This window comes from Homo sapiens, chromosome 17 (genome assembly GCF_000001405.40).
Source record: "Homo sapiens chromosome 17, GRCh38.p14 Primary Assembly".
Classification (NCBI taxonomy): Eukaryota; Metazoa; Chordata; class Mammalia; order Primates; family Hominidae; genus Homo; species Homo sapiens.
The window spans coordinates 66,010,436-66,022,660 of record NC_000017.11 but is presented as its reverse complement, the minus strand read 5'-3'; the positions used below and the strand labels follow the sequence as shown (position 1 = coordinate 66,022,660).

Sequence of the window (12,225 nt, the reverse complement as noted above, 5' to 3'; positions counted from 1 at the left end):
CTCGGCTCACTGCAAGCTCTGCCTCCCAGGTTCATGCCCTTCTCCTGCCTCAGCCTCCTGAGTAGCTGGGACTACAGGTGCCTGCCACAATACCTGGCTAATTTTTTTTGTATTTTTAGTAGAGACGGGTTTCACCATGTTAGCTAGGGTGGTCTTGATCTCCTGACCTTGTGATCTGCCCACCTCAGCCTCCCAAAGTGCTGGGATTACAGGCATGAGCCACTGTGCCTGGCCTTTATCTAGCATTTCAAAAATTTTATTTTGGTAAGATCCATTGCTAGAAAATTACTGTGTTCCTTTGTGGGTGCTATACTACCCTGCTTTTTCATACTTCTGGTATTATTATGGTGATTTATTCACATCTGGAGAAATAGTAACTTCTTAGTTTTGAATTTCATTGAAATGTAACTTTTTTTCTTGCGGATATAACTATGAAGTATGTTGGGTAGAGCTGTTTACTTCTGGGTATGTTGAATGTTAAGGCTTTGTATGATTTCCTTGGTTATAAATAGACTTAGTGTGGTGGCTTTCTCAAATACTGGTTGTAGTAGTGGTGTACCTGGAAGGTAAGCAGGCTCACAGCCTCCTGAGAAGCCACAGTGGCATTGATGATTGTGGTAGCAAGGGGCGTGGGAATCTTACGTTATTCCCAAGCACTGTGCATTTGTGTCAGCAGATTTACTATGGGGTTTGCAGGTCAACCTCCAGACCAGTAGGTGGCACTTGCAGGTAAAAACGCCAGTTGCTCTTGTAGGAATAAAGTTTATGCTTGACCTTTGTTAACCATGAGAAGTACTTCATTGCCCAGACAATGGCTGGGCCATGGAATATTCAGTGGACTGGGTCCTGTGCTCAGTCTCAGTGGAGGCCAAATCTGGGCAGAGCTGGACTGGGCAAGTCTGCATTCACATCTCCCAACAGTAGGCACAAGCACCAGCCCTGACAGGGGTCTAGAGGTAGTCAGCAGGTGGCTGGAGATAAGGCTGGGCAAGAAACAGAGCAACCACTGCTGCACCAAGTTCTCTGCATGGGAAGTGATGGGTGTCCCACATGCCTACTCCAGGTGATCAGGAGGGGGACCCACCTCTCACTCTTCAGACCTGAGGGGGCTCACACCCCTATTCCAAGCAAGGGAGCCAGTTGCAACACTCAGAAATGTTACGTGCAGTTTTTTTACTTTATTTTTCAAAGCTGCCTGTGGCCACAAAACCTGCTACCCAGGCAAAACCATGCCTCTTCAGCAACTCTCCTCCTATTTCGGTCTATGAAGGAGGGGTATCCCAATTCTAGCACCCACAGCTGGATTGCACACCACACTTACCTCTAAGTTCTGGCTGTGGGGGCTCTTCCCCTGCTCCAGATCCAGCACTCCAAATCCTGGCCCAAGACTAATGCTGGTGCTGCCGCCACTGCTAGATTTCAGGGACCCGCCGAGCTTGATATGAGTTAGAATCAAGAATGGCATTGTCCTGTTGGGTCCCAGGTCTGGGACAATGCCTGGGGTACTTCCTGGTATCATTCCTTTTCACACGCTCCTGGCCTCTCTCCTAGTTATATCCAGGGCTTGGGAGGGATAGGGTGTTCCCCATGGCCTAGGTTGCACAGTTCCTCAGTAGACAGGTAGATTGCAGAGGGACATTCTCTTCCCCTCTCCTATATTGGAGCTTCACTCAGTTCTCAACCAGACCTAGCCACTGTCTCCCTGCTCACCTTCTCTTCCCCAGTATCTGAAGTTTTCTTTCACTTTCTGTTGATTTTTCATTTCCTTCTTGGACAAAATTCTTCCAAGTAGATGAGGCACGTTGGAAAGGCCTCTGGTCCACCATCTCGGGAAAAACAGAGTTCTATAGATTTCTGACTATGAAACTTAAGTTTCTAAATTCTTTTTTGCTATAAGATATAGAAAGTAAAAGAGTAGTTAAATGGCAAATGTTTGTTGCTGCTTTTGTCACTATCTGCTGTTTTAACATTTATCAAGTCAATCTACTTGTAAAATACAAAAATAATAGAAAATGAAAAAAGTTAACCTTTAAACTATTTAGAATACATACAAGTTAAAATTACATATGGTTTATATCACAAAATGTTAAAAAACACTTTGTAATACCACCATCTTGTTTATCCATATAGTCACTCAGCAGATACCCATTAAATGGTTATATTGGGGAAGGTATTATATTAGGTACTGGGGTGGGGTTGAGGATGAATTAGACATAGATTCTGCCCTTCATGAGCTTAGTGTATAGGAAGAAATCTGTTTCTGTCATTTGGAAAAGTGTTTCTAGCAACACGTATTGACCTGCATGAGTGCTCTTTTAAATCATAATAAATTTCCTTATTGTTGCAGTTTTAATGCAGCTCAATACAAAATGTTAAGTATATTTCATATGAAATGGACATACTTTTTCATAATCCTTGCTTCCTGTATAAGGCATCAGTATCCTTTAGGTGTATTGTTTGTCCACCGTTCATTCTTTGGGCAGATCACTGGCTGTCCATCCATTAAGGAAGAGCTTCCTGGCTTCCTGCTCTGTTGCAGTCTGGTAAGCCCTCTTCCTGATATCCTGGTATGTATGTACCTGTGAGACAGACAGGCTGTAGTGAGGAGAAAGGGATGCACTGGCTATTTGTAAAATAAGGTATTCCTATCCCAAACTTCATTACATCCTGCTGAGGACTGTTACGCACATAGAGATAGACCTAGAAAGGAAATCTTTCTTCTACCATTATCTTTTCTTGGGTATTTAGCCTCGAAGTAAACTAAGGTTTCTGCTATCAGTCTCCCTCCCTGGTGAATGTACACTAGAAAGGGAATATTGGAGCTCAGTTCATCTGTATCCAGTAGCCTGCTGACCATTCCTATTCTATTTCACTTCAAGGAGCAGACCTAAATCCTTTTTATTAGGTGTCATAACTACAGTGATTCCCTTTCCATGCGGTATCAATTGGCCTAGCTTTTTAATAACGTTACTTGTTAATGTATATTAGTTGTTTTCACTGTAACTAAGATTTGTTTAAAATAATAACAATCTTTAAAAGAAAAATAGCCATCATTGTTCATATTGCATATGTTCCTAACATTATTTACATTGGAAGAAAATGTTGCTCAGCATGCCACTTTTTATTTTACAATTAATTTCATAATCTCCCCCTTTTACATTGACATCTGTTTTTCTTTCTTTATTAAACCTGCTGTGATCTCAAGCCTTGGAGTTTTGATGTCTTATATCCCTCTCAGGGAATATCCTTTTTGATAGCTCGAAGACCTGACATAAATCTTCCGTAGCTCTGGACTATGTAATTGTAGAGCTAAATGGGATGTATAGGGCTTTTTTGTTGTTGTTGTTGTTGTTAGTGTTACAGGTGTGCACATTCAATAACTTTTGGTATAAAACTTAGTTCTAAATATCTCTTCAGGGGGAGGAAATGCCATCTGAATGACATTATTTTATCCTGCCTATGAGACAGCAGCAGGACAGGAGCATAGGATTCTAACTTGTCTTTGAGGTAAAAGAAACAGCATCAGATGCTGTCCCTAATTTAAGCACACACATATTATGTAATGGTCTTTATTGATCTCTAGTGGCTATTGTCTGCTCTTAAGATCTTTGAACATCAAACAAATAATAAGTAGTAAACCGAAATGTCATTGTTGATGAATTGTCCTCATCTGTTAAATCAGGAAATGGTTAGACTAAATGATTTGACTAGCAAGGAAACACCTGCCCCCTACAGATAACCTATTGCTTGTTTTCCAAACAGTTCCAGAGAGTAAAAGATGGTGCTGTTTACCTAGAGAAACATGCCAGACATATGTTAAGCACCTACGTTCTAAAATGTACTGAATTGAAATATCTACTTAAAATCATTCTGATGGAACTGTTTAACAAATGAGATACGAAGTCTAATGGAGTTCACAATCCTTAAAATATAGTTATTCCAATGCCTAGCAATCATGCACGCTTTTTAAATCATGTTTAAAATAGTCACAGCCGTATATTTAACATATTGGATAGTATTTTTGAACTACCACTGACATGATTTTTAAGAGTACGTGTGCCTTTAGTGATGTTTTAAACCATGAAATTGTGCAGTGAAAAGATTTATAGAAGTTATGCAATCTAATCACCCTTATTTTTCATATTGGGAAGCAGAGGTCATAGCAGTTAAGAAGCATTGTGGAGTTATTCAGCTAGTCAGTGTTTGGGTCAGTACCTCCTCTGTGCACTTTACTATGCTATGGTGTCTGCCACAGTATATCTAGTTTCTGATATATAGCACAATCTCTTTCTTATCTACACAATATTCCTTTTGTGATTACCTAAATTCTTGGGATGCAAGGGAGCAAAAAAAATATATTCAGTGAATATTCAATAAATGTGCTTATGGCTACTTAAATCAATTATTTATAGCAAATTCTCATGTTTGAAAATATATTATGTATCCTTGACTATCTGGTTTGTGTTGTCATTACCTATCACTTTTAAATACTTTTCTGGTATTAACAATTTAAAGTGGGGAAAGGATTACAAGCAAATCATTTATTGCTTACTACCATTTGTACATTAAAAAGGAAGGGGTGGAAATAGCATTATCTCTTTCTAGGTTGTTTGTTCTTTAATTTTCTTTTAGGTACAAACAAGGATTTTTTTTTTTTTTTTGAGACAGAGTCTTGCTCTGTTGCCCAGGCTGAAGTGCAGTGGCACAATCTCAGCTCACTGCAGTCTCTGCCTCTCGGGTTCAAGAGATTCTCCTGCCTCAGCCTCTCAAGTAGCTGGGATCACAGGCATGTGCCACCATGCCTGGCTGATTTTTCTATTTTTAGTAGAGACGGGGCTTTCACCATGTTAGCCAGGATGGTATCAATCTCCTGACCTCGTGATCTGCCCGCCTCAGCCTCCCAAAGTGCAGGAATTGCAGGTGTGAGCGACTGCGCCCAGCACAAACAAGGATTTTTTTTTTAACCCACCAAAAGTATTGATCTGTTCTCTTTTGCCAAGATCTGTATGCAATTATCTCTCACTTTTCTGGTGTTTACTTATGTCACCCACAGCTGTCTGGAATATAGGTAAAAACTAAAAATGCAATCCAAAAAGGCTCTTAAACAATACAGATATATTCAATTAAGAAAAAACAAATTTAAAACAATACTTATTGACTATTGGAGTATGGGCTAGATATTATCCTGGGTCCTAGGGATATAAAAATGAGAAACAGCTTCTACCTTAAGAAACCCCCAGCTCAAAAGTATGGTCATTGACACATTGATGTTTACCTCAGAGGGGAGTCCCTTATTTTCCCACCCAGATAATTTCATTCTAATAATTTTAGAAGCAATAAATTAGATCAAGGTGCTTGTGCTAGCACACTGACCAGTGTCAAGAAATGGCAGCTAAGAACTTGTCAGAGGTGAAGATTCAATAATTAATGATAAAAAGCAGTTACAAAAAGACAAAATTGGCAATTCAGGTACTACTTTCTGAAAAGGTAGACAGACTAAGGGAATTACTGTATTGTGGCACATTGTGATTTTGGGTGTTCACAATAACCTTGAGTTATTCAATCTGAGGAAGTAATAATAATGTTTCACATATACTGATCATTTATTATGTTCCTAATATTGTTCTAAGGTCTTTACATCAAGTAATTTATTAACTTATCACAATTCTTTGATATACTCATTGTTATCCCAGTTTTTCAGAGGAGCCAACTGAGGCACAGAATGTTATGTAGTTTGTGAAGGAACAGGGACACAAATCCATGCCATCTGATTATGAGCTTGGACTCGTAATCATCGTATAATTTTAGAGATAGATTTTTCTCAAAAATTGTTAATTTTTTGAAGCTTCCCATTTAAAGGCGTAAATCTCAACTGTGCTTTTATGTGGCAGTTCTGAGTCCCAGAAAAAAAAAATCAACAGTAAATAGAGGGGAAACTACTGGTACATGGTACATTGGAGGCACAGTGCCAATTTGCAAAATACTTATTGACTTGTCAGCAACTCTGATAGCAATTCCTTGTTGGTTTCCCATGTAACATATCATTTTAGAGTACCAGTGAAGCAGGCTGTATAACATATCATTTTAGAGTACCAGTGAAGCAGGCTGTGTAACATATCATTTTAGAGTACCAGTGAAGCAGGCTGTGGCTTGAGGAGAAACGTGCCTCCTCAGTAGAGCAGTGTAACCTAGTTCAAACCCTCCTGGGAATTGGTTTTAGCTGTATCTCTGAGAGAGAGATCACACTTAGAGACACGTAATAGAAGCACAGTTACAGCCCCTGTGGTTTTTGTCAAGCAGCAAACTGAATGGTGTTCTGAATATCAAGCACCAAGTCTGAGTGGTGTACGGTGTTCAAGAATGAGTAGGAGAACAGAACCAAAATGGAGTCTGTGGGAAAGCATTGTAGAGGAAAGGAATGAGAGCATTACACAGAAGATTCAGAGGAAGGAGTTTCTCCTGAAAATGTGTTACTCCGGAAGAAAATGTTTAAAAATTCACCAGTAGCATACAAGAAGATATGATATCTATGAAGGAGGAACAGACACCATAAGGAAAGAAAGGGATGAAGTGAAAATTGTCATAAGGAAATCGTAAGGAAACCAAAAGTACAATAGCAGACTTACGATCACATAGTTGCTGGTTGGGTTAGGTCAGATTTTGTAAAGAATTAAATCAGCGATATGAAGGCAAGGCATAATGACCTTTCAGACTGCAAAAGAAAGGGACAAAGAATCAAAAATTTTGAGGAAGGTGATATTAAGGCAGAAAATAGAAAACCAGTATATAACAACTGATATTTCTGAAGGAAGGCTCAGAATAAAATAACACAAAAATAACTAAAGATATGAGAAAACTTTTCAGAAGGTCTGTGTATGTAATTTTAAAGATTTCACTCTTTATCAGCTAAAACTCAATACAAGATTAAAAAATGTTTGAATTACAGTACAAAGAGAATGATTTTTATAAATGTCCAGACCCCAGGGGGAGGGGAAAGCAAAGTTTAGATGACTTTAGTCTTCTTATTTGCAAACCTAAATGTCATAAAACAATAGAGAAACTTAACGTGTGCTGTGTTTTAGGCCAAAGTGTTGTGACCTAAGAATCTTATACCTACAATTTCCTTCATGTGTAAAGGCAACAGAATGACATTTTTGAATGTGCAAAGCCTCAGAAGATATATCACTAGGATATTCTTTTTGAAAAATAAAATTACTGGATGATGGACTTTAATCAGCCTAAGGATAAGCAAAAGATCAAATCAAACAAAAAAAATACTCAAGAACGAAAAAGTACTGGTGAATGCCAAAATTAAAATAGAGATGAATTTAAATATTTATTGTGTACACAATATAAACAATGGAAATGTCAGAAGAGAATCTTGAAAAAGAAGGTATGTGAAGTTAAAACAATTTAAAACCACTATCTGCCTCAGCATCTCAAGATTATATAAAAGAAAACCAAAATGACTAGGAGAGGGAGAAGTAAACATATGCCAAGCTATTATTTTAACAGGGCAGAGGTATTAATTTTTAACTTGCTAAATATTAGAGGGATGTAGGTTAAAAATAATTGTGAAATATTTATGGCATCATTAGTGTAATTAAAATCTGTTTCCAAAGACGATGTCCTTGACAAAATACCAGCAAACCAAATTCAACAGCACATTAAGTGATCAGGCACCATGACCAAGTGGGTTTATTGTTGGGATGCAAGGATTGCTCAAGATAGGTAAATCAATAAATGTGGGAAATGATGGCTGACTAGATGCAGCTAGAAAGAATATCTGCCACCAAGGGGGTAGGACATTGGGAAGACTGGCACATTCCAAGTCGATCTTCAGAGGAAAGTTACTGAGAGTGGACAGAGGGAGGACAGAGACACTGGGCTGAAAGGGGAGGAAGCTGGGAATCCTGCATGGGGCTGCCACACACTGGGTCTTCTTCCTGGCTCCTAATGTCTCCTGGGGAATGGGTGAGTTGAGCAGGCAAGGAGTGAGCTGCTCTTGCTTTGGACCTCTGGAATCCTGGCAGCAGAAGACCCCATGACCCCCACACTTGAGCTGGCAGAGAGAGTTGCTTAGAGAGATGGTTGGGGCAGGACTCCAGCCTGTACAGAGCCCAGAGAGTTTTGATGAGGGAATGTTTGCAGGGGGGCATGGCCGGGGATGCCCATTCCCTCAGGCTGGCCATGTTCCTCTAGGAGACTTTAGCCTTAAAAGAATTGTTGAACCTGAACAGAGCAGATGGGGCCAGTCTTACCTGAACTCTCCCATCGGCTGGCCTCTCCTGGGACCATAGCCTGGCTTTGCCTGCTTACAGTGCAGACTCAGATGCTCAACCAGGATGCCTCCCTAGGGCCCTCATCATAGCTCCTGTGCTGGCAGACTGTGCCAGATTGCCAGAGAGCTCCAGCAGAGTGGCCCCCACTGACATGCACTGGCCCACTCACACTCTCCCTCTACTGCAGCCTCCCCCATGCTGCTTTACCAGCAAGCACTCACCCAAGGCCATCCTCCTATTGCCATATTGGCACATGTGTGCATGGGTGAACCTTGCCCTTCCATGCTGGTGCAGTGATGTGCGTGCATCCCACTGCGCCATTGCTGCCAGCGTGAGTGTACCCGTCCCCCACTTGCTGCTGTGTTGCAGTGCTGCCATTTCTGGTGTGAAAGCACTCAGGAAGGCCAGTGGCCCTGCCTCCCACCACGATTGCCACCAGTGTGAACATGCACAAGGAGTTTGCCAGCCCCACCCCAGCCAGAAATCCACTGCTATGCCAACACTGCCCACCAGTGTGAATGCACACACAGATGCCAGTGACCCCTCCCCTCCATGGTGCCACTGCTGCCACTGTGAATGCGCATACAGAGGCTGGCAGTTGCTGGTCTGCCAGCGCCCCACCCCAGCTAACAAGGGTGAACCCTGGTGTACTACCACTGCTGCTGGCACATGCAAACAAGCATTAATCACATTGCCACTGCCTGATGAAGCGCTTTGGCTGGCACCACTCGTTGGAGTGTTGTGGCCATCGGACCAGGAACACTTTGGCCCATTTAACACAGCAGGTCCCAACTTTGAGGGACCAGAGAACAAAGCCAGTGACCCGATACCAGCCCCTTAGAGTTAGAGTATACAGTGTGGGAGTGTTGAGCTGAGCCTTGGCTCCTCAAAATCTACTAGAAATGAAGCCAGTCGATGGACCCCACCTTATGCCACAAACCCCCAAGGACATCAATGGAGATAAAAGCAAAAAACAAAACAAAACAAAAACCCCACCATCCAAAGGACAGCAACTTCAAAGGTTGAAGGGACATGAGCCCACACAGATGAGAAAGAACCAGAGCAAGAACTCTGGCAACTCAAAAAGCCAGAGTGTCTTCTTACCTACAGACACCCACACTAGTTCTCCAGCAATGGTTCTTAACCAGGCTGAAATGGTAGAAGTAGAATTTAGACTATGAATAGGAACGAAGATGATTGAGATTCAGGGGAATGTTGAAACCCAATCCAAGGATTATAAGGAATAAAATAAAATAATATAGGATATGAAATATGAAAATGCCATTTTAACGAAGAACCAAACTTACCTGATAGAGCTGGACAACTCACTTCACGAATTTCAGAATACAATCACAAGTGTTAACAGTAGAATCAACCAGGCTGAGGAAAGAATATCAGAACTTGAAGAACAGCTATCTGAAATAACTCAGTCAGACAAAAATAAAGAAAAAAAAAAGTAAAATGAAAACAACTTCAGAGAAATACGGGATTATGTGAAGAGACCAAATCTATGACTTATTGGTGTCCCTGAAAGGGAAAGAAAGCAAGTAGCTTGGAAAATATCCTTTGGGTTATCATTCATAAAAATTTCCCCAACCTTGCTAGAGAGACCAACATTTAAATTCAGGAAATGCAGAGAACCTTTGCAAAGTACTCCACAAGAAGACCATCCCCAAGACACATAGTTATCAGATTCTCCAAGGTCGAAATAAAAAAAATATTAAAGACAGCTAGAGAGAAGGGGCACGTCACCTACAAAGTGAAGCCCATCAGGGTAACAGCAGACCTCTCAGAAGAAACCGTACAAATCAGAAGACATTGGGGGCCTATATTCAGCATTCTTAAGGAAAAGAATTTTCAGCCAAGAGTTTTATGTCCCAGCAAACTAAGCTTTATAAGCAAAGGAGAAATAAGATCCTTTTCAGACAAGCAAATGCTAAGCGATTTCATTACCACCAGACCTACCTTATAAGAGGTTCTGAAGAGAGTCCTAAACATGGGAAGGATAGACCGTTAACAGCCACTACAAAAACACACTTAAGTACACAGGCCAATGACACAATAAAGCAACCACACAAACAAGTCTGCATAATAACCAGCTAACAACATGATGACAGGATCAAATAAGCACATATCAATACTAACCTTGAATGTAAATGGGCAAAATGCCCTAATTAAAAGGCACAGAGTTGGATAAAGGCAAGTTGGATAAAGAGGCAAGACCCAATGGTATGCTGTCTTTGAGAGACACATCTCAGAGGCAGTGACACCCATAGGCTCAAAGTAAAGAGATGGAGAGAAATATACCAAGCAAATGGAAAACAGAAAAAAGCAGGGGTTGCTATTCTAATTTCAGACAAAACAGCCTTTAAATCAACAAATATCAAAAAAGACAAAGAAGGACATTGCATAATGGTAAACTGCTCAATTCAGCAAGAAAACCTAATTATCCTAAATATATATGCACCCAATACAGGAGCACCCAGACTCATAAAGCAAATTCTTAGAGACCTATGAAAAGACTTAGACAACCACAGAATAATGATGAGAGACTTCAATACCCCACTGACAGTATTAGTCAAATGTCAGATCATCAAGGGAGAAAACTAACAAAGATATTCAGAACTCAAATTTGACACTTGACCAAATGCATGTATAACATCTACATAACACTCTACCCAAAACAACAGAATATATATTCTTCTCATCTGCACATGGCACATACTCTAAAACCAAGCACACAATTGGACACAAAACAATCCTCAGCAAATAAAAAAAGCAAAATTATACCAGCTACACTCTTGGACCACAGTGCATTAAAAATAGAAATTAATACTAAGAAAATCGCTGACAGCCATATAATTACATGGAAATTAAACAACCTGATCCTGAATGACTTTTGGGTAAATAATGCAATTTAGGCAGAAATCAAGAAATTCTTTAATGAGATTAAAGATAAAATGTACCAGAATCTCTGGGATATAGCAAAGGCAGTGTTAAGAGTGAAGTTCATAATGCTTAGCACTCATATCAGAAAGTTAGAAAGATCTCAAGTTAACCACCTAATAGTACAACTAGAGCAACCAGAGAAATGAGCAAACCAACTCCAAAGCTAGCAGAAGACAAGAAATAACCAAAAGTAGAACGGAACTGAAGGAAATTGAGATGCGAAAAACCATACAAGAATACTTCCCAATACTGAACCAGGAAGTAACTGAATCCCTGAACAAACCAATAATGAGTTACATAATTAAATCAGTAATAAAAAGCCTACCAACCAAAAAAACCCCAGGACCAGAGGGATCCACAGCCTAATTCTAGCAGATGTGTAAAGAAGAGCTGCTACTATTCCTACTGAAGCTGTTCCAAAAAATTGAGGAGGAGGGACTCCTCCTTAACTCATCCTGTGAGGTTAGCATCATACTGATACCAAAACCTTACAGAGACACGACAAAAAAAGTAAGCTTCAGGCCAATATCCTTGATAAACATTGATACAAAAATCTTCAACAAAATACTAGGAAACCAAATTCAGCAGCACATCAAAAAGCTAATTCACCACAATCAAGTATACTTTATCCCTGGGATGCAAGGTTGACTCAACATATGCAAATCAATAAATGCAATTCATCACATAAACAGAACTAAAGACAAAACCCACAGGATCATCTCAATAGCTGCAGAAAAGGCTTTTGATAAAATCCAACATCTCTTCATGTTAAAAACCCTCAACAAACTAGGCATTAAAGGAACATACTTCAAAATAATAAGAGCCATCTATGAGAAACCCACAGCCAACGTAATACTGAGTGGGCAAAAGCTGGAGACATACCTTTGAAAACCTCAGCAAGGCAAGGATGCCCTCTTTCACCACTCCTATTTAACATAGTAGTGGAAAACCTGGCCAGACCAATCAGGCAGGAGAAAGAAAGAAAAGGTATCCA

The 12,225-nt window shown here is 40.2% G+C and overlaps 1 protein-coding gene across 22 annotated transcripts in view, besides 2 other annotated features; it reads left to right on the top strand.

Annotated features, from left to right (window-relative positions):
* Positions 1 to 12,225, top strand: part of CEP112 (centrosomal protein 112) — a 556,597-nt gene that overhangs the window by 169,473 nt on the left and 374,899 nt on the right. The window lies entirely within an intron of this gene.
* Positions 8,127 to 8,626: an enhancer, noted in NCBI's record as "H3K4me1 hESC enhancer chr17:64010153-64010652 (GRCh37/hg19 assembly coordinates)". NCBI's record gives its function as "activates a minimal SCP1, AML or CMV promoter by ChIP-STARR-seq in naive H9 embryonic stem cells {active_cell/tissue: H9 hESC(naive)}" and the evidence as "EXISTENCE:reporter gene assay evidence [ECO:0000049][PMID:30033119]".
* Positions 8,627 to 9,128: an enhancer, noted in NCBI's record as "H3K4me1 hESC enhancer chr17:64009651-64010152 (GRCh37/hg19 assembly coordinates)". NCBI's record gives its function as "activates a minimal SCP1, AML or CMV promoter by ChIP-STARR-seq in naive H9 embryonic stem cells {active_cell/tissue: H9 hESC(naive)}" and the evidence as "EXISTENCE:reporter gene assay evidence [ECO:0000049][PMID:30033119]".